Raw genomic sequence first — 23,607 nt, 5'->3', positions numbered from 1 at the left:
TGGGGCAGGAAGATGGCCAGAAGTTTGAAACCAACCTGGGCAACACAGTGAGATCTGTCTCTACAAAAAATTTTAAAAGGAGACTGGCATGGTGGCATGCACCTGTAATCCCCAGCTATTAGCTGGTGCAAAAGTATTGCAGTTTTAATACATGGGAGGCTCAGGTGGGGTGGATCGCTTGAGCCCCGATGTTTGAGGATGCAGTGAGCTGTGATTGTGCCACTGCACGCCAGCCTGGGCGACAAAGCAAGACCATGTCTCAAATAAAAATAATAATATAAACATGAATACTTCGTCTGTAATCCTTTGTCCCTAAGCTTTGTTGCAGGTATTTTCTTCTGAGATACAGCTTTTGCTTTTTTAAAAAACTTGTTAAAACTTTATTGATGACACCTTTTGTTACACAGACATTTGCTTAATGGGCAACACGACCTTGGCCTCCTGCCAGGCCATGAGCAGGTGCGGGGGTTGGGGGGCACCTTCATCCTGCTCCTCCTGGGACAAGAGGCAGGATCAAGAGTTTAGGCATCTCCTCTTTTTCTTTCCTTTCAGTTTCTGATAAGAAATGATGGGAACAGGCCCTGCTTACCCCCTTATTTGGCACAAATAAGTTTTGCTGATGAGTGCATAATTTGAAATCTTTATTCCTCAAATCAAAATCTGGCAGTGGGAGATGGCTTCCTGGAAAGGGCAGGGGCTGAGGCTCCCACCCCCAACCCATGCGTACCTGCTTGCTGTTGCCCAGTGAACACACAATGGGCAGTGCTCCCCTCTTCCTCCTGAGCCCTCAGGACTGGCTAACTCAATCCTCCTCCCTGGGGTATTAATCTCACCTTTTCAACCCCAAGACCCTTTACCTGAGGACGTGGACGGAGGCCCGGGGAGAGCTGCTGGTCAAATAACCTCTGCAGAGACTCCAGGGATGGGAGGGTCCGGATGACTTCTCTGGGGGCAGGGGACAAGGTGAACATCAAGGATTAGTGGGCACCGGAAAGAGTCTTCCATGGCAGCACGGGCTCTAGCCAGAGATGAGGGCACCCTCAGTCCAGCAGAAGCAGGTAATTCTCCCCAGAAGGACAAGCCCGGGCAAAGATCAAGGCTTGCCAGCACTGGCCCACCCATCCCTTCCCAACCCACAGCGAACTGGAATTGTGTAGTCCTGACTGTACCTAGGTTTTGCTTTAGCCAAACTGCACTCTATAGCCTGTAGAAAATTCAAATCTGAGTGACAAAATGACTTCACTTAGTTATCCATGGTTCCCAACCTTCTGTGTTTATAAAACACACACACACACACACACACACACACACACACACACAGGTGTTAACAATGCAAATTTCTGGGCTCCCGCCTGATTGAGTCTAGAATCTGCATTTTAAATATTAGGGCTGCCCAGTGCTGGTGATCTGTGGATTCTGATGCAAATCCCCTCCTAGCAGCCCAAATGCAGGCTCAGACGGATTTTCCCATTGTCACATCCATTGACAACTCCAATCCTCGGGCTTTATGCGCTCTTTGTTCCCAGCTCATCTTTCTCTATTGTTTTAACATAGTGGGGCAGACAATTTTGAGTTCTACTTTTCACTTATTGTTTCATCAAAAACTGTTCATGTTTTTACATATTTAACATTCTAATGATTTGAAAATAGTCTATTGAGTAAATGTGCTGAAATCGATTGCTAGATATTTGGGTTACTCTGAGATCTTTGTTATATGAATAAAGGCTGCTCTGGGCCAGGCACGGTGGCTCACGCCTGTAATCCCAGCACTTTAGGAGGCTGAGGCAGGCGGATCACGAGGTCAGGAGGTCGAGACCATCCTGGCTAACGTGGTGAAACCCCCGTCTCTACTAAAAATACAAAAAAAAAAAAAATTAGCCAGGTGTGGTGGCGGGCTCCTGTAGTTCCAGCTACTCGGAAGACTGAGGCAGGAGAGTGGTGTGAACCCGGGAGACAGAGCTTGCAGTGAGCCGAGATCGCACCACTGCACTCCAGCCTGGGCGACAGAGCGAGACTCTTGTCTCAAAAATAAAAATAAAAATAAAAATAAAAATAAAATAAATAAAACCTGCTCTGAACAACTTTGTTCATATAGCTTTTCTAATTTTTAATTACAGAATTAGGATAACCAGAGATTACGGCTCTTGATCATTATTGCCAAACCTGTGAGTACTGATTATATTGTCCAGACCTGATTACCCAATAGCTCCAATGACTGTACTTCTGTTCTTTCTCTCTCTTTTAAGGGACATAACATTGCACTTCAATACGGATGAATAAATTTGCATATCTTTAATTTCTAATGTCATTGTTTTTCTATTGCTGATTTCTAGTTAATGGCTACTGCATTTCTCTCATTTCTCTTTGTATAAACTTTTTTGTTTTTTCTCCCTTGCCAATTTTCTGTTGGGAATTTTGTTCATATTTTTATATAGTGTTATAAACTTTACATATTGCTTTGCTTTTTTTTTTTTTTTTTTTTTAGACAATCTTACTCTGTGGCCCAGGCTGGAGTGCAGTGGCGTGATCCTGCCTCAGCCTCCTGAGTAGCTGGGATTACAGGCATACACCACCACGCCCAGCTAATTTTTGTATTTTTAGTAGAGACGGGGCTTCGCCATGTTGCAGGCTGGTCTCAAACTCCTGACCTCAGGTGATCCGCCCACCTCAGCTTCCCAAAGTGCTGGGATTAGAGGCGTGAGCCACCAGGCCCGGCCTACTTTGCTTTTTATTTAATCTAGGTGCTGTATTTTTTTCTCATTACATTATTAATATAATATAATCTCATTACATTATTAATACAATATAATCTCATTATATTATAATATAATATCATTATATCATAATAATAAATACTAACATATTATGTGTATGTGTGTGTGTGTGTGTATATATATATATATATATATATATATATATATATATATATATATTTTTTTTTTTTTTTTTTTTTTGTGATGGAGTTTCGCTCTTGTTGCCCAGGCTGGAGTGCAAGGGCAGTATCTCTTTTTCTTTTGTTAAAATGTTTAATGGGGCCAGGTGTGGTGGCTCACACCTGTAATCTCAGCACTCTGGGAGGCCAAGGTGGGTGTCACCTGAGGTCAGGAGTTCAAGACCAACCTGGCCAACATGGTGAAACCTCATCTCTACTAAAAATACAAAAATTAGCCGGGCATAGTGGTGGGCACCTGTAATGCCAGCAACTCAGGAGGCTGAGGCAGGAGAATAGCTTGAACCCAGGAGGCAGAAGTTGCAGTGAGCCAAGATCCTGCCACTGCACCCAGCCTGGGGAACAGAGGGAGACGCCACCATCTCATAAAAAAAAAAAAAAAAGTTTAATGGAATGATTTTAATGTTTCCCTATCGATTGTAATTAGTTTTACTTTGATTCATATTGCATTATTAAGGAAGTATCCTTCTATTCCTTTTTTTTAAAAATGATTTTTAAAAATTAGAGATGAATTTAAAATGTTATCTATGTAAATGGTTTCCGTTTATCTTTTAATCTACTGCAAAATTACAGTGCTTTCTTTTTGTTGACTCATCTTTGGAGTGACCTAGATAAAGCCTCCATTTTTCATGTCACTAAATTATATTTGCTGGGATGTTACTGAAACAATATGCATTTATATTAATAAGTGAAATCAGAGATAGAGAGTTTTATTTCAGGCTATTATCTTGATTAGCTTTTTGGATTTAAATCATATTTTTCTTGAAGAGAGAATTAGGTGACTTTTTTGTCATTCAGGAATAATCTATACCTTATGCTCACTATTTTTTCCTTGAAAGTTTAAAGGACACTCATGGTACTTTTAATGTTTTATATTTTACGTAAACTATGTGTTCCATTTAATTATAACTTGAAGATCTGTAGCTACATAACTGTACACTATTCTTTAGTGACTTCCAAATCTTTAATGCAGATTATTAATTCTCCTTTGACATTTCTCATGTTTAAAACTTTCTTAATTGACAGTTTTTCCTGATGTATCTCTGTTTTTATTTTTACCATCTTGTCCTCCTCGTCTCCTTTCTGGCTGTTGTTATTGCTCAGTTGCTCAGCAGAGATTTCTTAAAGATTCTGTTTTATTCACTGCTGTATTTCCAGCTCCTGGAACAGTGCCTTGCAGATAGTTGGTACACATTGGATCTTTGTTCATGAATATCGAATAAATCAACATTTCATGTACTTTGCTGGGTCCTGGAAACATCAAGGGGATTAGGACATGACCCATAATGTCTTCAAGAGATTTACAATCTGGACTCAGTTTGTACATTTGACTTGTTATTCTATTTCCTTTTTTTTTTTAAACGCGGTCTCGCTCTGTCATCCAGCCTGGAGCACAGTGGCACCATCTCGGCTCACTGCAACCTCCGTCTCCTGGGTTCAAGCGATTCTCCTACCTCAGCCTCCTGAGTAGCTGGGATTACAGGTGTGCAACACCACATTCAGCTAATTTTTTGTATTTTTAGTGTAGATGGAATTTCACCATGTTGGCCAGGCTGGTCTCGAACTCCTGACCTCAAGTGATCTGCCCACCTTGGCCTCCCAAAGTGTTGGGATTACTGGCATAAGCCACTAGGCCCGGCCTTCTATTTACTTTTTAATAATAGAGCAGAACTTTTAAAGCTATGGTTTTTCCTCTAAGTGGTGCTTTGGCTGCATCACATAGTGTTCTGATATGCAGTGGTTTGATTACTCCACTCTGTGCCTCCACACCTACCCCATGTATTATTGTGTCAGTTTCTTTCTTAATTAGCTGTAATTTAGAAGGTGATTTTAAAATGTACAGGTAATTGGGTGGTTGTGGCTAGTTTTGTGACTTATTTCTATTTTCATCACAGTGTGTTATGGGAGTACAGAATGAACACTTTCTGCTTTGAGTATATTCATATTTTGCTGCTCAGTAAGCTGCAGGCTTCTTGTTTTTAAGATCACCAGGACTATAAAATTTCTGAAAAACAATTTTTGGATTCCTTTTGAGTAAGGCATTTGATTGGTACATTTTTAGGAACTTTCTGAAAAAGATGACTTGTGCTCTTGAATGAGCTAGGCTTAGCTTTTCCAGGTCAGTAGCCTTTTTCTTGGAGACATGGCTTCAGAATCTTTATTATACTGTCAAGGAGTTTGAATTTTTAAATATTAAATATATTAAATATAAAATATTAAAATATTAAATATTTAAAAATATTTAACATTTTAAATGTCGACAATTTTAAAGCTATGGTACTGTTTGTAACAATCTGTTTGTTGAATTTATCTTTTCTTGTCATTTAGAGACATTGTAAGAGATTTAGGCTTGGCACAGTGGCTCACAACTGTAATTCCAGAGCTCTGGGGAGCCAAGGCTTAAGCCCAGGAGTTTGAGACCAGCCAGGGCAATATAGTGAAACTCCATCTCTAAGAAAAAAAAAATTGTTTAATTAGCTGGGCATGGTGGTGCATGCCTGTAATCACAGATACTCCGGAGTTAAAGGCAGGAGGATCACTTGAGCCTAGGAGTTCAAGGATGGATAAGCTATGATCCCACTACTGCATTCCAGCCTGAGTGACAGAGTGAGATGCTGTCTCTTTATAAGAAAAAAAAAAAAAAGATGTTTCAGTGTTGCTGTTTGATTGTTGTATTATTTGGATCATTATGGAGCTTCTCAAAACTTAGATTTAGCTCTTTTGTAAGCCTGGAAATTTTTTTTTTTATTGTATACATTAATTGGCAATTTTTTCCTACTTCTTCAAGAACATATCCTGCCAGCTACAGGTAGCACCTCTGAGCTTTGTCTCCAAGGACTGTCCATTTTTACCACACATTTCCTCATCTAGGTTTGCTTAATCTTTTCATGCTTTTGATATACATGTTTCTGACACTCTACTCTGTTTTGTGATTTAATTTTTGAAATTTGATTGGAAAACTATGGGCTTATTTTATGGCCTCCAATGAAACAGTTATAATGGTAATGAAGTATTTTTGGTTTTGGTTTGTTTATTAAAAATCTTACCCTGCTCTCATGTAATAGATATTGTATTGATATTCAGACCTTTGATCTTTTATTTTAAATTCCACTTGCAATCCTTTCCGTGTCTCCATTTCAGGAGTTACCAAATATTTCCAGTCTCTGGTTCCTTATTCTCTCTCTCTGGAAAAGTTTCTGTCTGGCTCTAGGGAGCCTAACCTGGGGTTGCAAATCTTGCCTGATGCTTTGTACTGCAAAGAGATCTTCACGCCAGACCCGCACGGGGACATCGTCACAACATTTCTGCAGAGGAGGCTCTGGCACTTCTCCTTACTCCTCAGTGCTCAATGTCCTTCTCATTCACACTTGGGTCCAAGCAAATAGACCTGGACATCATTGATGCCATTCTCAACCCCCTCCCAGCTCCTCCTTCTCCATCCCTCCTCTAAATCTTGAGCCTGGCTCTATTCTCCTCTGTCTACACTCTCACCTGCAGTGACCTTACCCCCAGCTTTCAGTGATTCCCCATATGCATCCCCCATGATTCCCCAAATGCATCCCCCACATCCTAGCTTCTTAGCACTAGCTCCATGGCTGGTGACTCCACTCAGATGCCTCATGGCCCCTCAAGCCAAATGTAGCCCAGAACTCTCCTCCCACCACCCTCTCCTTCCTCCTCCTCCTTGACTTTCCCTATCCCAGGAACTGGCATCAGCATCCACTCAGCCCCTCACACTGGGAACCCAGGGGTCACCCTAGATTCATCTTCCCTTCACCCCACATCCAATCAAGCGGCAAATCTGACACCTTTGCCATGCACACGTGTCCCAGGTCACACCAGTTCTCAGCATCTGCACGCCCCCAGCCATTGGGTCATTTACCTAATATCTGTTGAGCCGCATGTGCCAGAGCCTGTGTATAACCGGGGACTCAGCAGGAAGCAAAACAGACACAGACCCCTGCCCCTGCTAGCCACCTTCCTCATGGACTGCCATCCTGTCTCACTTGGACAACCACAGCCACTCCCAGCTGGTCTCCTGCTTTGGGCAGTGCCTCCTAGGATGCATCCTCCACCACTTGAAAATCAGATCATGGCCCAGCCCTGCACAAACTCTATAGGGCCTCTTAAGCCTTGCGTGATGTGGCTCCTGCCTACAGTGACCAGGTAAAACACAGGACACCCAGTGAAATTTGAATTTCAGATAAACAATGAATAATCTATTAGCATGAGTATATCCCAATATTACATGGTATATACTTATACTAAAGAAGTTGCTGTTCACCTAAAATTCCACCTCTCTGGGCAGCCTGTGCTTTTACTTGTTGACCAGCTTTTACATGTTACACCAGCCTCTCCCCAACCTCTGTTCCTAACACTCACTTGCCACACAGACTTCCTGTTCCTTGAGCAGGCTGTCTTCATTCCTGCCTCAGGACCTTTGTACTTTGTACTTAATGTCCCTCTGCCAAATCACTGTGTGGCAAGACCCCAGTTCTGTCACCTCCTTCACCTCCAAAGGAAGCTGGCACTCTCCCACCCAATGTCTCTTCCTCACATCATCGTGTTTTATCTTACCATGACATTTACTAAAATTACTGTTTGAACTGGGCATGGTGGCTCATGCTGTAATTGCAGCACTTTGGGGGGCCGAGGAAGGCAGATTGCTTGAGCCTAGGAATTGGAGACCAGCCTGGGCAACAAGGCAAAACCCCATCTCTACAAAAAATATAACAATTAGCTGGGTATGGTGGCACATACCTGTAGTCCCAGCTTCTCCATTGGACTCGGGGGAAGCAAGTGAGTGGGGGGACTCAAGGATAGGGGCTGAGAGGTGGGAGGCTCACTTGAGCCCAGGAGGTTGAGGCTGCAGTGAGCTGAGATCTCACCACGGCACTCCAGCCTGGGTGACAGAGCGAGATCCTGTCTCAAAAAAAAAAAAAAAAAAAAATTCTTGTTCATCTGGATCCTTAGTCTACTGTTGTGTGCCTCACTGAGATGTTAGATCCAAAAAGGCCTAAAAGAGCAAGAGGCTTGTGCATTGTGTCTGTTGCTACATCCCAGCACCCAGAACAGGGCTCAGAGGAGGCCTCCAATACATGTTTGTTCGATGAACGAATGAATGAAGACCTATTCTAATCAAAGCAGTTTGAAAATTATGGGTTTACAATTTGAGGGATGAGAATCTGCAGGGATTCTGGCAGGAGAAATGGGAAGCATCATTTTGTTCCTTTCTACAATTTCCTAAAATGCCAAGGCTGATCAAGTCTCCAAGCCTGGCTGTCGCCTTACTGATGAAAGCAAAGACGAGTGTGCAAGGGAAATTTAGAGCATGACGGTGTCTTTAATTCTAAATAGAGTCATGGAGCAGCTAGAAGCTGAAGGAAGCTCTCTCCATCGGCACTACATACCCGAGAAGAAGACAAGTTGGGGAAGCTGGCACCGCCATAGTGATGAGGTGACTTGGCTCCTGGGAAGTCCAGGTAGTGTTGAGGTGTTAGGGAAATCTAACAATGTGCAGAAGTGTCTGGGGAAGACTGAGGGAAGCCTCGTGGAGAGACTTAAAATACATTTCTTTCTCCACAAGGAAGCAGGGAAGAACAGAATCTCCACTGAAGCAGAACTAAGAGCTTGTTATCAGCCATTGTGAAATGGTGTTTTATAAAAAGAAAGTGCTGTATGTGTTTTCCCCTAGTGATAAAGTGATTCATAACAACAGCATCAAATGGAACAAAATCCCTCCATGGGAATCTATAAAAATGATAGCTCCAGGTCCAATTAGCTACAGCTGCATTAGTTGAAAGCCAATTCATTGAAATTAAGCCCAACTGGCCAATTTGGTGAGTGCTTGATTTGTCAAAGAAATTATTTGTTAAATTTACCGAATGTACTGATCGTGCTTTTAAAAGCCTTTAAAAGGAAAGTCGAATTTGATTACTGATGATAAAAGAGTGTTTTCTGCATATTAACTAAGCTAAGATTGAAACAGCCCCAGAAAAATCAACAAAGGAATCTTGAAACGGCTGTATGTGTAATAAAACACAAAACAGCACAGACTACAAAACCGTTGCCAGTATGAAATCCCATTTTTCCAATCAAAATGTTGACCTTTCTTTCCTTTGTTTGTTTGTTTATTTGAGACGGAGTCTTGCTCTGTTACCCAGGCTGGAGTGCAGTGGCGAGATCTCGGCTCACCACAACCTCAGCCTCCCAGGTTCAAGTGATTCTCCTGCCTCAGCCTCCAGAGTAGCTGGGATCACAGGTGTGTGCCACCACATCCAGCTAATTTTTTTTTTTTTTTTAGTAGAGACAGGATTTCACCATGTTGGCCAGGCTGGTCTCAAACTGCTGACCTCAGGTGATCCACCTGCCTCGGCCTCCCAAAGTGTTGGTATTACAGGCGTGAGCCACCACACCCGGCCTGACCTTTCATTTGTGATGGGATTGTTTTGGCTCCCTGTGGCTTTGTTCAGATGCTCTGGAATTTTTTTTGTTTTTTTTCTCTTCCAAGCTTTTGGCATTTAAAATATTCTTTGCCAATTCTTTGGATGGCATATTAGCCTTACTTTTGCACTTTTAACAATTAAAATGTAATTAACTTGAAATTAACTTTCATCAATTAAATTTTAAAATGTAAAACCAAAAGAATCTAAAAGAAATCAGAACCTTTACCAGTTGGTCATTCAATGGATCGGACATCAGAAAATTAAAGTTTTGGTGAATCATCTCCCTTTGAAAAATTGACATCACTGGAAATCTTGGGCCATAACCACCCACGCAGAAAATAGACTAACTTTAATTTATTTCCTTTTGATGCCTTTCTGTGCTTGTCAGGTGTAATGGCTGCAGCAAACAGCAAGAGCAGCAGCAAAAATCTTAAGAGCTGGATCCTGTGCAAGTGAGAAAGGGCTGGCCATGTCCTCCCACCCCATCCGCTTCCCAGAGCAACTGGCCTCCAATTAACTTTAGTTGTAAAAAGCTGCAGCACACACAAGCTACTGTTCAAATTCCATGATAACAAGACCTCCAAACAACCACAGAGATTTCCAAGCTGTGCTCACCACTCAATTATTGTGAGTGCGGCAGAGGCATTTGTTCAGCCAGGCAGAGGCAGAGGTCGCTCTCATGAGCTGTTTCTCTCACCTGGTGGCCGCCCCCACCTGCCCGCCCCCGTGGGCCAGCCATTACCCATAGAGCTCCTTGCAGAGCAGTGTGGTCAGTTTCTTCAGGTGAGGAAGACTGCTGGACCCTGTCTTCACAAATTCAGAGTCCTGGGCGAGCTGAGTGCTTAAATAATCTTGGATGGCCTTAAGATGCTCTTCTGGAAGCCTAAAGAAAAGAAAAAAGAAACAAACTATGCTTGCCTGTTTCTTTTAGCCACCATCACCAATGGGAACAGCAACCACAATAACAAATCCTCATCCTCAGAGCCTCCAAGGGGACACCGTCCTTCAGAAGAATGTTTGCAAACCTGGACGAAGGTTCCCGTGGTCTCACTGATGGGGTAGATTAGCAGGTCAGAGCAAGAAGAAGTGGCCCAGCAGGAAAAGGTGCCTCTCAATGAGCTCCTTTGGGTGCTGCTGGGAGGAAGTGGTTTTGGCTGGGGGTCTGGGAAATGGTTATACTTTAAAAAGGAGACCAAGGCTGGGCATGGTGGCTCACAACTGTAATCCCAGCACTTTGGGAGGCCCAGGTGGGCGGATCACCTGAGGTTAGGAGTTCAAGAACAGCCTGGGGGGAAACCCCGCCTCTACTAAAAATACAAAAATTAGCCGGGTGTGGTGGTGGGTGCCTGCAATCTCAGCTACTTGGGAGGCTGAGACAGGAGAATCATTTGAACCCGGAAGGCAGAGGTTGCAGTGAAAACAGATCGTGCCATTGCACTCCAGCCTGAGTGACAGAGTGAGACACTGTCTCTCACACACACACACACACACACACACACACACACAAAAGGAGGCCAAAAGCTTTGGAAAGTGTAAGTGGAATTGTTTTCCTACCTTATCTACTTATAAAGATAGGATCTGAGGGCTGGAAGGATGATGGGATCTAGAGATAACAAATGGCTTTAGCTCCCATGCACTTTGCAATTTCACGGCCAAAGGCTACCCAGGGCACTGTGTTCAGAGAGTCTGGATTCATCTCAGGCTCTGTGGGGGGAGTCTGAGTGATTAGCGATGGGGCTGGGGATATGGAATGAGGTAGTGCAAGTGGCCGACTTTGCCGTGTGGAATCTGCTCCAACCCCTTCAGTGTACAGAGTGAATGGGGCTGAAGGCAGGATTTGTTCACTGTGCAGATCAACCCTGGTGGCAGAGGCACAGGCAGAGAGCCCAGGCCAGTCCCACGAGGGGCGCCCCCTAAAGTCGGATCAGCTGTCTGCATTCTATCTTCCAGCACCTTTTGTTCTGGGTAACGCTTGAGTGTTTGTTCCCATAATGATGGAAATTGTAATTACAGCAAGTATTTCCTGAGCACAGCATACCAGACACTATGCTAAGCACTTCATGCTCATTTTCTCCATTAACCCACAAATCAATTTTATGACTCAGATATTATTACTAATTATTCCTGTTTTACAAATCAGAGAACTGAGGCTTAACCATGTTAATTAGCTGTGTGGAAAAAATTATTACAAGCCTTCATTTATTTATTTATTTATTTATTTTTTTGAGACAGGGTCTCACCCTGTCACCTGGGCTGGAGTGCAATGGCAAGATCTCGGCTCACTGCAACCTCCAACCCCCAAGTTCAAGTGATTCTCCTGCCTCAGCCTCCTGGGTAGCTGACACCACAGGCACATGCCACCAGACCTAGCTAATGTTTGTATTTTTAGTAGAGGTGGAGTTTTACCATGTTGGCCAGGCTGACCTCAGGTGATCCACTGCCTCAGGCTCCCAAAGTGCTGGGATAACAGGTGTGAACCACCCTGCCCAGCCGCCTTAAAGATTTTTATTCCAGGCTTGATATGTAATCAAATTGAAACTAAAGGCCACAAGGCTTTTCCTGTGGAATCTGTGAAAGAATGAAAAGCCGTTGCTCTTAAGATTGGACAGGAATTGCCAGGCATGGTGGGTCACGCCTATAATCCCAGCACTTTGGGAGGCAGAGGTGGGCAGATCACCTGAGGTCAGGAGTTCAAGGCCAGCCTGGCCAACATGGTGAAACCCTGTCTCTACTAAAAATACAAAAATTAGCTGGGCGTGGTGGCGTGCGTTTGTAGTCCCAGCTACTCAGGAGGCTGAGGCGGGAGGATTGCTTGAACCCAGGAGGTAGAGGTTGCAGTGAGCCGAGATCGCGCCACTGTGTTCCAGCTTGGGTGACAGAGCGAGACTCCATCTCAAAAAAAATACTGAACAGGACTGGCTTACCCATTTGACTTGTTAGATTGAGAAGAGAACATTTACATTTAAGTTCTTCTATATTTATTCTGGGTCTTGACATCATAAAAATCCAGTTTCTGCCTGAGTCTGTTTACTAAAAGGGACAAACATCTCTTCTATAGTATTAAAAACAGTGGTCCCCAACCTTTTTGGCACAAGGGACCGGTTTTGTGGAAGACAATTATTCCACGGATGGGTGGTGGGGGGATGGTTGTGGGAGGAAACTGCTCCATCTCAGATCATCAGGCGTTAGTTAGATTCTCCTAAGAGGCGTGCAGCCTAGATCCCTCAAGTGCACAGTTCACAACCGGGTTCACACTCATGAGAATCTAATGCCACCGCTGATCTGACAGGAGGCAGAGCTCAGGTGGTAATGCTCGCTTGCCCTCCGCTCACCTCCTGCTGCCACCCAGTTCCTAATAGTCCACAGGTTGGGGACCCCTGTATTAAAATATGTATCTTAACAGGTCTAATTACTATTGCCTTGTGACTTTGATACCGTGAGTCTGTATTACAGGCAGTTCTATTTGTTAAAATGTTTGTGGTAGGCTGGGCACAGTGGCTCATGCCTATAATCCCAGCACTTTGGGAGGTCGAGGCGGGCAGATCACCTCAGGTTGGGAGTTCGAGACTAGCCTAACCAACATGGAGAAACCCCGTCTCTACTAAAAATACAAAATTAGCTGGTTGTGGTGGCGCATGGCTGTAATCCCAGCTACTTGGGAGGCTGAAGCAGGAGAATCACTTGAACCCGGGAGGGGGAGGTTGCAGTGAGCTGAGATCGTGCCTTTGCACTCCAGCCTGGGCAACAAGAGCAAAACTCCGTCTCAAAAATAAAAGTTTGTTGTAGAAAAGTGTTGACATAAAGATGTAAACTATGTTTATTTGAGAAGGCTAATTTTACTTAGAAATGTGATAATTAACCTACTAAGACCTAACTGATGAGATCTGATTAACTTGCAGGAAAGACTGTGCAAGTTGTCATTTAAAGAAAAATAATCAAAAGGCAGTCCTCTATGTGCAAAGCAGCTTGACAAGCGAAATAGACTGATTTTAAAACACAATGTGGATTCCCAGTTTTCCTTGACCCTGAGAATGGAGGGCGGCTCTGTGTCGCCGCTTTCCTTGGTCTCTGCACATGCCCCCTTCACTCATTCCCATCTCCGAACAGAAGTTTTAGGAAGGTTCCACTGACATGATAAGCAAAGATAGAAAAAGCAGGGCTCTCTGCCCATGAACCCTCAGCCCATGCCCCGACCCTAACCCCTCCTGGAAAGCTGCCTGGAAGCTCGGCTTCACGCCCCTGCTGGTCCCACTGAGGCAGAACCCCATAACCAGGATGGAGGGGCTGATGAGGAGGAGATGGAGTTGGCGGGAGGTGTACGAGCCTTAGTAGGAGAGGTCAGCAGGTGGAACCATGGGGCCTCCCCGACTCTTCCCCATCCAGTTTACTGCACTCAGCATCCAAACCTGGGAAGAAATGGAAACCCTGGGGAACTAAACAATGGGCTCGATGTGGAATTTTTTTTTTTTTTAGACGCAGTTTTTCTCTTGTTGCCCAGGCTGGAGTGCAGTGGCGCAATTTTGGTTCACTGCAACCTCTGCTTCCCAGGTTCAAGCTATTCTCCTCCCTCAGCCTCCCGAATAGCTGGGATTATAGGCGCCCGCCACCATGCCCAGCTAATTTTTGTATTTTTAGTGGAGAAGGGGTTTTGCCATGTTGGTTAGTCTGGTCTTGAGCTCCTGGATTCAGGTGATCTGCCCGCCTGGGCCTCCCAAAGTGCTGAGATTACAGGAATGAGCCACCGCGTCTGGCCTATGTGGAATACTTTCAAAGCATCTGTTATTTAGACACATATATAGAGACAATCAACATAGTAGCAACACTGGATATTCGGCTATTTGATAAATAGCACAAATAAATCAAGGAGCGTGCACAGAATTCAGGCTGGAGAGCCCAGGGAAGAACCAATGGGTATGTCCAGGTGGAAATAGGAACACGCCAAGTATCATAGCAACCCGGTGGCGTATGTGTCCCATCGGCATCTACTTCATATTTTGCCAAGTGAGAGAGTAGGAGGAGGGCAGCCCTGGCAGCCTCAGATGGATCCTTCAAGTTGGAAATGCGGCTTCAGCCCTGTCATTAGGATTTCTTTGGGGGGCAATGGAGCGTTTCTCACAAAGAAACAAAAAGTTATATTTACTAAGGCATGGAGATTACCAGGTACTAACTTATTAATTAATGTAGCACATATCCAGTGAGTGCCCACACTATGCCGGGCCGTGCCTGGAGACGGAGTGCTCCCCCACCCCCGTGGAGCACTTTTCCTGTTAAGGCCCATGCCCCTGGCCTTCTTGAAGCCAATGGTGCAAAGGCCTCTGGGGTGCAAGATGACAAGCACTCTTCTCTGGAGACCTCCCCATCTCCCTCTGGTCACCAGGCCCATAACTAGGATCGAAACCCAAGCCATCCAGCCCTGCCCTGGCTGGGCTCACTGCAGATGAAGGCCCAGCTGGACTTGAGTGGGGACTCACCCACTGGTGTCCATGCTTTGCAGTCGCTGGAACAATGTCTCGGAGAGGCTCGGCCGGCTGGTCTCGGTCGCTCGGGGATTCTCGTTTGAAAAAGGAACCTCCTTGGCCTCACAGGAGCTGGCAGTCAGCGGGATGTTTCTTGGGGGCAGCTCGGGTGGAGACACGACACTTTCTACTGGAGAGAACAGCAGGAAGGCCATTGGTGAGGACACTGTGCGCACAACCCGGCCTTCACCGCAGCCCCATGGGGTCCAGGCCACGACACCCACGTTATTGATCTCCATCTGCGTCCCCGTGTCCCTCGCTGACTCCCTCCTGGAGGGAGAGCCTCCTGCCACAGGGCCCTGGCTAGTGCAGTGTCTGCCCCACTGTGGCCATCAGCAAACACCTGCCAGGGCCAAAAGGCCTTGCTCCATGGAGGGTCTGGAAGGCCTGCAGGGCTGCTGACCTTGGATGGACTAAGCCCACAGCAGCAGGCAGGTGAGCAGGATGAGTCTGGCTCTCAGACTTTCAGGGGCTGAGACACCTGTCTCATGATGGCTGAGCCCTGGGCTAGGCAGAGGCCCAGTTCCCAGAATAGGCCAAAACCATGGAAGGGGACCAGGGGTAAGGAGACAGGCAGGCCTAGCCACACTGCCCCTCTCCCTCTCTCCCTGGTCCCCTCTCTCCAGCCTCTGTCCTTCCTTCTCTCCTCCCCCAGACTCTCAGAAACACATAAAAGAAAGCGAGGGGGTTCCCTTCACTCAGAGACATTCAACAAATGACTTGAACTTGGCCTGGGAGGTGGGAGCCCACCCATCGCCTTTAGGAGAAGGTTCATTCTGTACGTACACGAATGGAGGGTCCAGAGCTCTGTCTGAGCCTCTTCCCACACAGAGCGGCTGCCTCTGGCCCAACCACAGTGGGCCCCGGGGGACCTCCTCTTTAGAGAACAGGCCCTTCACTTCCTCTGTCTGGGGTTCTGAAGACAACTAGGAGTCTGCTTCGAGCTCCACGGTCTGGCGGTGCCTCAAGAGGCCCTGGGCCCAAACAGACCTCTTGGACTGCGCGGGCCTCATGTCGCATTGCTCTGGTTCGAGCCGACAACTGGGCGACCTCGTTTGCGGAAGTGAAGCCAGCAGTCATGAGACTGAGGTTCTTTTTTCAGCCCTCACAGAAACTTGTCGGGATCTTCCTCCAGACAGCCATGCCCAGAGGGGCCCAACTAGCTGGGATGGGCAGCCCGAGGGGAGTGAGGGTGTTTAGTGTGGAGGGCGTTTCTGCAGAACAGCTTCTCAGCATGGCCCTGGGCGCCTGGGGGCAGCTGTTCAGGTGCAGCCAGGGCGCGGTGCTGGTGAGTGACCTTGGGCTCACAATGGGACAGGTCAGCCCTAGTTCTTCCACAGCCTGACCTTCCTGATTCCAGAGGGCAGTGCTCACTCAGACCAGGGAGGCCAAAAGGGACAGGGCCTGCCTGGGACCCTTTCAGCCTCCATGGAGCTGCGGTCCTTTTGGAAACGAACAGCTGCACAACCATGAAAAGTGTGTTTCCATGAGGGTGGGAGGGAGCAGGGGGCCCTGGTGGCCCACAAGCCAGCCCACAGGTGAGGGAGAAAAAGGATGCCTGCAGCAAGCCCCCAGAACAGGCAGGAGCCAGGCAAGGGTCTCAGCGTCTGTGGACAAATCTCTCCTCTCTTCGGGGAGAGCCTGGGGGACCTGGTAGTCTCCACCTGCTGGAATTCAGGAAGAGCCCTGGCCAACTGAGGGGCCCGGTTAGGTATCTCATGGTTTTCTTTTAGGAAATAAGCCTTTAAAAAAAAAAAAAAACTTGTATTTTAAGTTCAGGGGTACCTGTGCAGGTTTGTTACATAAGTAAACTTATGTCATGGGGTTTGTTGTACAGATTATTTCATCATCCTGGTATTAAGCCTAGTACCCAATAGTTATTTCTGATCCTGTCCCTCCTCCCACCCCCTCAGGTAGGCTCCAGTGTGTGCTGTTCCCCTCTTTGTGTCCATGTGTTTTCATCATTTATCTCCCACTTAAGTGAGAACACGTGGTATTTGGTTTTCTGTTCTTGTGTTAGTTTGCTAAGGATAATGACCTCCAGCTCCATCCATGTTCCTGCAAAGGACATGATCTCGTTCTTTTTACTGGCTGCATAGTATTCCATGGTGTATATATACAACATTTTCTTTATCCAGTCATCACTGATGGGCATTTAGGCTGATTCCATGTCTTTGCTATTGCAAATAGTGCTGCAATGAACATACACATATGTGTCTTTGTAACAAAATGATTTCTATTCCCTTAGGTATATTCTCAGTAAATCCTTGAGGGGAAAAGTGGGGCATCCCCAGGTAAGCTCCTTCTCTGCAAGACTTTCTCCATCTGACTGTTGCTCTATTGGTCTTTGTCCCTATGCTGTAAAGGGCACCCTTAGTCTCACACACTTTTTAGGGACTGTATAATTTTTTTTTTTTTTTTTGAGACGGAGTCTCCCTCTGTTGCCAGGCTGGAGTTCAGTGGTGCGATCTTGGCTCACTGCAACCTCCACCTCCTGGGTTCAAGCGATTCTTCTGCCTCAGCCTCCCAAGTAGCTGGAACTACAGGCGCGTACCACCACACCTGGCTAATTTTTGTATTTTTAGTAGAGATAAGGTTTCGCCATGTTGGCCAGGATGGTCTCGATCTCCTGACCTCGTGATCTGCCCGCCTCTGTTTCCCAAAGTGTTGGGATTACAGGCGTGAGCCACTGCACCTGGCTGGGACTGTACATTTTTTTCAACATATTTTTAGGGGTTGTATTTCCCCCTCCCCCTTTTAATGATGACATAAAGAAACACCTTCCTCATCCTTCCAGTTAGGTGCAAGGGTCTCCTCCTTCACTCTCCTCTCAGTGAAATTCAGCAGATTGTAATCATGCTAATGACCGTAGCTGCATTTATGGAGTGCTTACTATGAATATGTACCAGGCTCTGGGTGCTACATTTCTCAACTCATTTGATCCTTGAGATACCATGAGAGGCAGGTACTATCGTTATTCTCTCTCTCTGTCTTTTTAAAGGCTAGTCAAGTGAAGCAGAGGAAGTTCAGTCTTTACTGTCTCTTTCTCTCTCTCTCTTTTTTTTTCTTAGACAAGGTCTCTTTCTGTCACCCAGGCTAGAGTGCAGTGGTGCAATCATGGCTCACTGCAACCTTGAACTCCTGGACTCAAGGGATCCTCCTGCCTCGGCCTCCCGAGTAGCTAGGACTACAGGCCTGAGCCACCATGCCTGAATAAATTTTTTAAAAAGCTTTTTGTAGACACAGGATTGCCTATGTTGCCCAGAAGGGTCTCAAACTCCTGGCCTCAAGCGATCCTCCCACCTCGGCCTCCCAAAGTTCTGGGGTTACAGGCGTGAGCCAGCAAGCCCAGCCTTATTTTACTGTCTCTTTAAAGAGAAGTCTGTGATTCAGAGAGGTCAGGTAATTTCCCCAAGGTCACCTGGCTAATAAGCTGGGGAGGAGGAATTTTAACCCATGTCTGCCTGACCAGAGAGCCTGTGTTCCTAACTTGTCCTTAACCCCCACGCCAACAATCTCCCTCTGATAATAGGACTCACCTAGTCTACAAGCACTCAAGGTGGGTGCAGGGCAAGTTCCCAAAAGTACCTCCTGCCGTCCTGTCCCTCCCTCCCTACCTGTGTCCTCCTCAGGGTCGTCGCCTGTGTCCTCTTCCTCCAGCGGCACAGGGTATTGCAGATGGGTCACCAGCCCCATGTTTTCCTTCTTGTAAAACTCGATGAGCTGGTCCAGCTTGGTGAAGAACCTCATGGAGACGCCTTCGGATGCCTGAGGACAGAACATCCAAACAAACGCACATGTTAACCAACTAGAATGTCAGCCAACCACAAAGGCCAACTGCAGCAGAGACCAGCGAGGCGGAGGGAGTGACTGCGATCCAGGAAAAGCCTTGGGCTCCTACGCAGGGTGTGTGACCCTCATGCCCACACCTCACATCCTGCAACCAGCAGCTGCCAAGGGCCCTTCTGCAAAAGGCACACAGAGGATCGTTCCTAAGATCTGTTTTTCTTTCCGTTTTTAAAAAACTTTTATTTTTAAAAGTGTTTTTGGGCCAGGCACGGTGGCTCACACCTGTAATCCCAGCACTTTGGGAGGCTGAGGCAGGTGGATCACCTGAGGTCAGGAGTTTGAGACCAGCCTGGCCAACACGATGAAACCCCATCTCTGCTAACAAAAAAAAAGAATACAAAAATTAGCCGGGCGTGGTGGCAGGTGCCTGTAATCCCAGCTACTCAGGAGGCTGAGACAGGAGAATCACTTGAACCTGGGAGGCAGAGGTTGCAGTGAGCCGAGATTGCGCCGCTGCACTCCAGCCTGGGCAACTCAGTCTCGAAATAAAATAAAATAAAATAAAATAAAATAAAAGTATTTTTATACAAATAGTACATTTATATTATGGCAAAATTAGAAATATGGATTTTTTTAAATAAGAAATTTGTCTGGGTGCAGTGGCTTGTGCCGGTAATCCCAGCACTTTGGGAGGCTGAGGTGGGCACATCACTTGAAGTCAGGAGTTCGAGACCAGTCTGGCCAACATGATGAAACTCAAACCCAGTCTCTACTAAAAACACAAAAATTAGCCAAGCGTGGTGGTGCGCACCTGTAATTTCAGCTACTTGGGAGGGCGAGGCAAGAGAATTGCTTGAACCTGGGAGGCGGAGGTTGCAGTGAACCAAGATCACACCACTGCACTCCAGCCTGGGCGACAGAGTGAGACCCTGTCTCAAAAAAAAAAAAAAAGAAAAAAAAAAAAGAAAGAAAGAAAGAAAGAAAGAAATCACCTGTAATCCCACAACCCCAAGATACCTATTTTCCAGTTTAGAATGTGTTTTTCTAGAATTTGTGAGTGTGTTTGGTGGGGAAGTTACTTTTATTTTTTCCTGCACGAAGAACTTTTTTTAAAAAAAACACAGGAAAAAATCAATTCCAGCAATTGTTTTGCTTTTATTTTTATTTTATTTTTTTCATTTGTTATAGTTGTTTTTGTCAAAACTCAGTAAATGATCTATCTGGTTTGTATCTGTTGCTGATAGCAGAGGACCTTGGGGGTAATTGTGCTGGCTATTCAAATGCCCTGGGGCAGATCCCCTTCCTGTAAGCCCTGTGGCTCTAGCCGGTAGTTCCAGGTGGTCCCTGAGCAGCCAGCCCCACCCCTACCTCACCCTTTACCTTCTTGCCAGGCCCTGCCCTCAGGGGCAGCTGAACAGGAGCAAGGGGTCAGGCTGTTGGTAGGTACAGGAATGAGCCCCAAAGAGGCACCCCTTCTGGGTGGGGCCTCCCTGGCCTGGAGGAGCATAGCGCCCCTGGCAACTGCTAAGTGCCTGTGATTCACCCTGTCCTCATAACAGCCACCATGTCAGTGACTTTCAGATTGTTTATTTTATTTTATTTGAGATGGAGTCTCACTCTGTTGCCCAGGCTGGAGTGCAGTGGCACAGTCTCGGCTCACTGCAGCCTCCACCTCCTGGGTTCAAGCAATTTTCTGGCCTCAGCCTCCCAAGTAGCTGGGATTACAGGTGCCCGCCACCACACCCAGCTAATTTTTGTAATTTTAGTAGAGACGGGGTTTCACCATGTTGGCCAAGCTGGTCTCGAAATCCTGACCTCAGGTGATCCACCCACCTCAGCCTCCCAAACTGCTGGGATTACAGGTGTAAGCCACCACACCCAGCAACTTTCAGGTCATTTTAAAATTAGTTGAGAAGGCGCCATCCTTGGAGTTAGAAGTCAAGGATCTCACTGCTCCTCTGGGGGCTGCCAGCTACCTTCTTTCTGGAGGGAATGGGACCCATCGCCTGTAGGAAACAAGACCCACAGGCAAGTAGAATGGAGGTTGAAAAGCCCACCCTGGTTGGTGAGCAGGTGGCATCTGGCCTGAGCGTGGCTGGGCCAAGCGTTGGCCTTTCCGCCTCCAAGTCAGATATCTACTGGGATTGGGATTGACGTGGGCAGGTGGGAGGGTGCCTGAAGGTCTTCGGGATTACAGGTAAGTGGAATCAGGAGAGATGAGGCAGGATGACCCAGACTGGGACAGATTCAGACATCAGGGAGCAGGGTTAGGACTCAGACCTGTTCCCGAGCCCTTGTGCCTGGGTGGCTAACTCCAAGTCCTAGTGAGGACACATACGCCTCTTTCAGTGACCTGTGATTCAGGGCTGTCCATCTGGGCTCTGGCTCTGTCTCTGTCTTTCTCTTTCCAAGTGTGTTTTTTTGTGTGCATTGCACACATATGTAAGTCTATGCCTGGGCGTATGTGTGTGTGTGTGTGTGTCTTAGTTAGTAAATTTATAGAGAGTTAAGCAAAAGGGTGTTCTAAATTCTTTTCAATAAATTCACTTGTTTTCACAAAGCCCCGTGTTAAGCAATCTCTTTCAAACATTATTGAACCAGAAATATCTGAGCAGCAGCAGCCAGGCCTCTAAAAAGTAACATGAGTAGGTTCAAAAACCAAAGTGAGCAGAATAACAAAAATAATTTGACATGATACAAGATCTATGAACTCAATTCAGTTAAAGCAGTCGTGAAAAGTGTCAGACTGTCAAAAAATGTACAGCTAATAGATGACAAGCCATTAAGAGCATGGAAAAGGAATATGAAAATACCAAAGAAAGCTGAAGTTGAACGCCTCATGTGTGAATCCAGAAAAGGATTCTCGGCTGGAGGGTATCTGAAGAACGCGTGTTTGAGTGAGCATGTGAGATTTGGGAATTTAAGACGCACCAATGCTAAAACCAAGTAAGACACGTTATTTTATGCACTGCTAAGAAGCTGAACCACAGACTATGTTACACATTGATTATAGACTTATGTGACTCCAGAGATGTGAAATCTGAAAGGTAAACATCTTAGACTTGATGACATATGCTGTGTACTAGGAACAGAGCAATTTAAAGGAGTCCCTGTGGACCCGGTGAGGCCACCGCGTGTGCCTGGCCCGCTCCCAGAGGCCAGGGAGCCAGGGTCTGGCAAACCAAGGCTGCCGGCTGCCCGGGTTCCCAGGAAGGGAGAGAATGCAGGGTAGAAGCCAAGCCTCATGGATGGCAGACAGGTGGCAAGCTGATAATGGCCGCTGACAAGTGTGCTGAGGAGGGAGCCTTCCTCCACCTCTCCCCCTCCGAGGGGAAAGCACCCAGGAAGAACACAGCAGGTCTACAGGAAGCAGATCCACAGGGACAGACCCCACCTGAGGGAAAACCTGCTGTGTGCAGTGGGCCCGCAGGAAGCACCCTGTGCCTGCAGGCAGTGCAGACAGGAGATGGCAAAGGCGGGGCACCAACCAGGCAAAGGCAGGTGTCCCCGGAGAAAATGTCCAGGAAGGTGTCTTCATAAGGCTTTGCTCTTGGCCCTAAGCTTTGACAAGGAAAACAGAGAACTTACGTTCAAAGCACATTCTAGAACAGGAAGAGAAAGAGTCAGAGCCCAAGAAGGGGATCATAGAAGCTACAGAGCCGGCCCAGACAGCGGAGGGGTGGGGAGCGTGGTCTAGACGGGTGGGTGGTGAGGAGCATGGTCTGGCCTCAGTGTGTGCAGTGCAGAGAGGAGCAGCCCACACATGGTGTTGCATTCTGAACCTGGGCCCAGAAAGGTCCTGCATCAGGGTACGATGGCCGAGGGGACAGGGCAGAGTGGCCGGTAGGGGGAGGAGTCTGTTTGAAGGGCAACCGTGCCTGGGTGTGACCTAACAATCCCCACCCAGTCAAAGCCAGGAGGGGCTTCCAGGTGGACAGTGTATTGACATCCACAGGCCAGCAGGAGTAGGTGGGTCCTGCTGGGACAGGCCTGGGGGTTCCCACCCACAGCAGGCCAGGTCCATATCCACCCAGCTGTGTGCCCACAGTCAGGACAGGTCTGCTCATGGCTGTGCCATCCCCAGACTGTGCAGCAGGGCCTGGCAATTGGAGCAGCATTTAGTGGTTCCATGGATTTGCCGCCTTGGGTCAGGATGACAGACAAGAGTTGGAGCCAGGAGGAGGGATGGTCAGGGAGGGTCTTCCATGCATCTGGGACTGGGGATGCAGAGAAACAGTGGCAAGCAGGGGAGCTGCCCTCACTCACATCCCCCAGCACGTTGCTAAAGGTGGTGCCTTTTCAGCAACTGTAAAAGGCAAAATGTGAACAAGGTGTCATGTGCGTTTTTCATGTGCACGATCCAGAGTCCCGGCAGGAGGCAGATGTCTCATTAAACGGGGGAACTTGGGGAGAACATGTAGGGACAGGGCATAGGGATACCAATAACAGGCAGTACAGCCCCCCCGAACTCATAGTAGTTACCACCCTGGGAAGATCACAGGCAAGAAGCAGGTGCTGGAACCCAGAGGGGGCCGCCCAGCAGGCGCTGTGGCCTCCCGTGGAGCTACCATGGAGACCTTACAGGATGCGAGCAGGGCAGTAGATCCCCTCCCCCGCCAAAAAACTTTCCTCTCATCTGGCTGCGGCTCCCATTGGCCAAACCCAATGAGAAAGCAGGGGGCAGGGAAGCGAATGAACTGGGGAGCAAATGGAAGATGCTCAGCACGTGAAGGCCATGGTGAAAAGGCGCCCAAGGAGACAGAGGGAAAACAAATGCCTGCGTCCCCCGATGAAGCGTCCAGGTTCGAATCGGGAGGTTAGCACCAGCCACACTTCTGACCAAGGAGGGGACTGCCCTTGGTTCCTAATGGCCCAGGCTGCCACACTTCGTTCCCCATTCCACAGC

The 23,607-nt window shown here is 47.0% G+C and overlaps 1 protein-coding gene across 4 annotated transcripts in view, besides 5 other annotated features; it reads right to left on the bottom strand.

Moving 5' to 3' along the window:
• INPP5D (inositol polyphosphate-5-phosphatase D) overlaps positions 1–23,607 on the bottom strand; it is a 147,562-nt gene that overhangs the window by 67,117 nt on the left and 56,838 nt on the right. For 2 of the 4 annotated variants that reach the window (NM_001017915.3, XM_047444219.1), the window contains exons 3-6: positions 18,530–18,680; positions 14,868–15,042; positions 10,139–10,279; positions 858–945 (exon numbers count right to left, since the gene is read on the bottom strand). In NM_001017915.3, coding sequence (NP_001017915.1) covers positions 858–945; positions 10,139–10,279; positions 14,868–15,042; positions 18,530–18,680 — 555 coding nt within the window. The remainder of the gene's footprint in view (positions 1–857; positions 946–10,138; positions 10,280–14,867; positions 15,043–18,529; positions 18,681–23,607) is intronic. The other 2 variants (NM_005541.5, XM_047444220.1) reach the window with 1 other exon arrangement.
• Positions 11,321–11,820: an enhancer, noted in NCBI's record as "H3K4me1 hESC enhancer chr2:233993677-233994176 (GRCh37/hg19 assembly coordinates)". NCBI's record gives its function as "activates a minimal SCP1, AML or CMV promoter by ChIP-STARR-seq in naive H9 embryonic stem cells {active_cell/tissue: H9 hESC(naive)}" and the evidence as "EXISTENCE:reporter gene assay evidence [ECO:0000049][PMID:30033119]".
• Positions 15,515–16,061: an enhancer, noted in NCBI's record as "H3K27ac-H3K4me1 hESC enhancer chr2:233989436-233989982 (GRCh37/hg19 assembly coordinates)". NCBI's record gives its function as "activates a minimal SCP1, AML or CMV promoter by ChIP-STARR-seq in naive H9 embryonic stem cells {active_cell/tissue: H9 hESC(naive)}" and the evidence as "EXISTENCE:reporter gene assay evidence [ECO:0000049][PMID:30033119]".
• Positions 16,062–16,609: an enhancer, noted in NCBI's record as "H3K4me1 hESC enhancer chr2:233988888-233989435 (GRCh37/hg19 assembly coordinates)". NCBI's record gives its function as "activates a minimal SCP1, AML or CMV promoter by ChIP-STARR-seq in naive H9 embryonic stem cells {active_cell/tissue: H9 hESC(naive)}" and the evidence as "EXISTENCE:reporter gene assay evidence [ECO:0000049][PMID:30033119]".
• Positions 17,746–18,246: an enhancer, noted in NCBI's record as "H3K27ac hESC enhancer chr2:233987251-233987751 (GRCh37/hg19 assembly coordinates)". NCBI's record gives its function as "activates a minimal SCP1, AML or CMV promoter by ChIP-STARR-seq in primed H9 embryonic stem cells {active_cell/tissue: H9 hESC(primed)}" and the evidence as "EXISTENCE:reporter gene assay evidence [ECO:0000049][PMID:30033119]".
• Positions 22,637–23,230: an enhancer, noted in NCBI's record as "H3K4me1 hESC enhancer chr2:233982267-233982860 (GRCh37/hg19 assembly coordinates)". NCBI's record gives its function as "activates a minimal SCP1, AML or CMV promoter by ChIP-STARR-seq in naive H9 embryonic stem cells {active_cell/tissue: H9 hESC(naive)}" and the evidence as "EXISTENCE:reporter gene assay evidence [ECO:0000049][PMID:30033119]".

Source organism: Homo sapiens, chromosome 2 (genome assembly GCF_000001405.40).
Source record: "Homo sapiens chromosome 2, GRCh38.p14 Primary Assembly".
NCBI classification, from domain to species: Eukaryota; Metazoa; Chordata; class Mammalia; order Primates; family Hominidae; genus Homo; species Homo sapiens.
The sequence above is the reverse complement of the archived record's forward strand: the minus strand, read 5'-3'. Positions and strand labels throughout refer to the sequence as shown.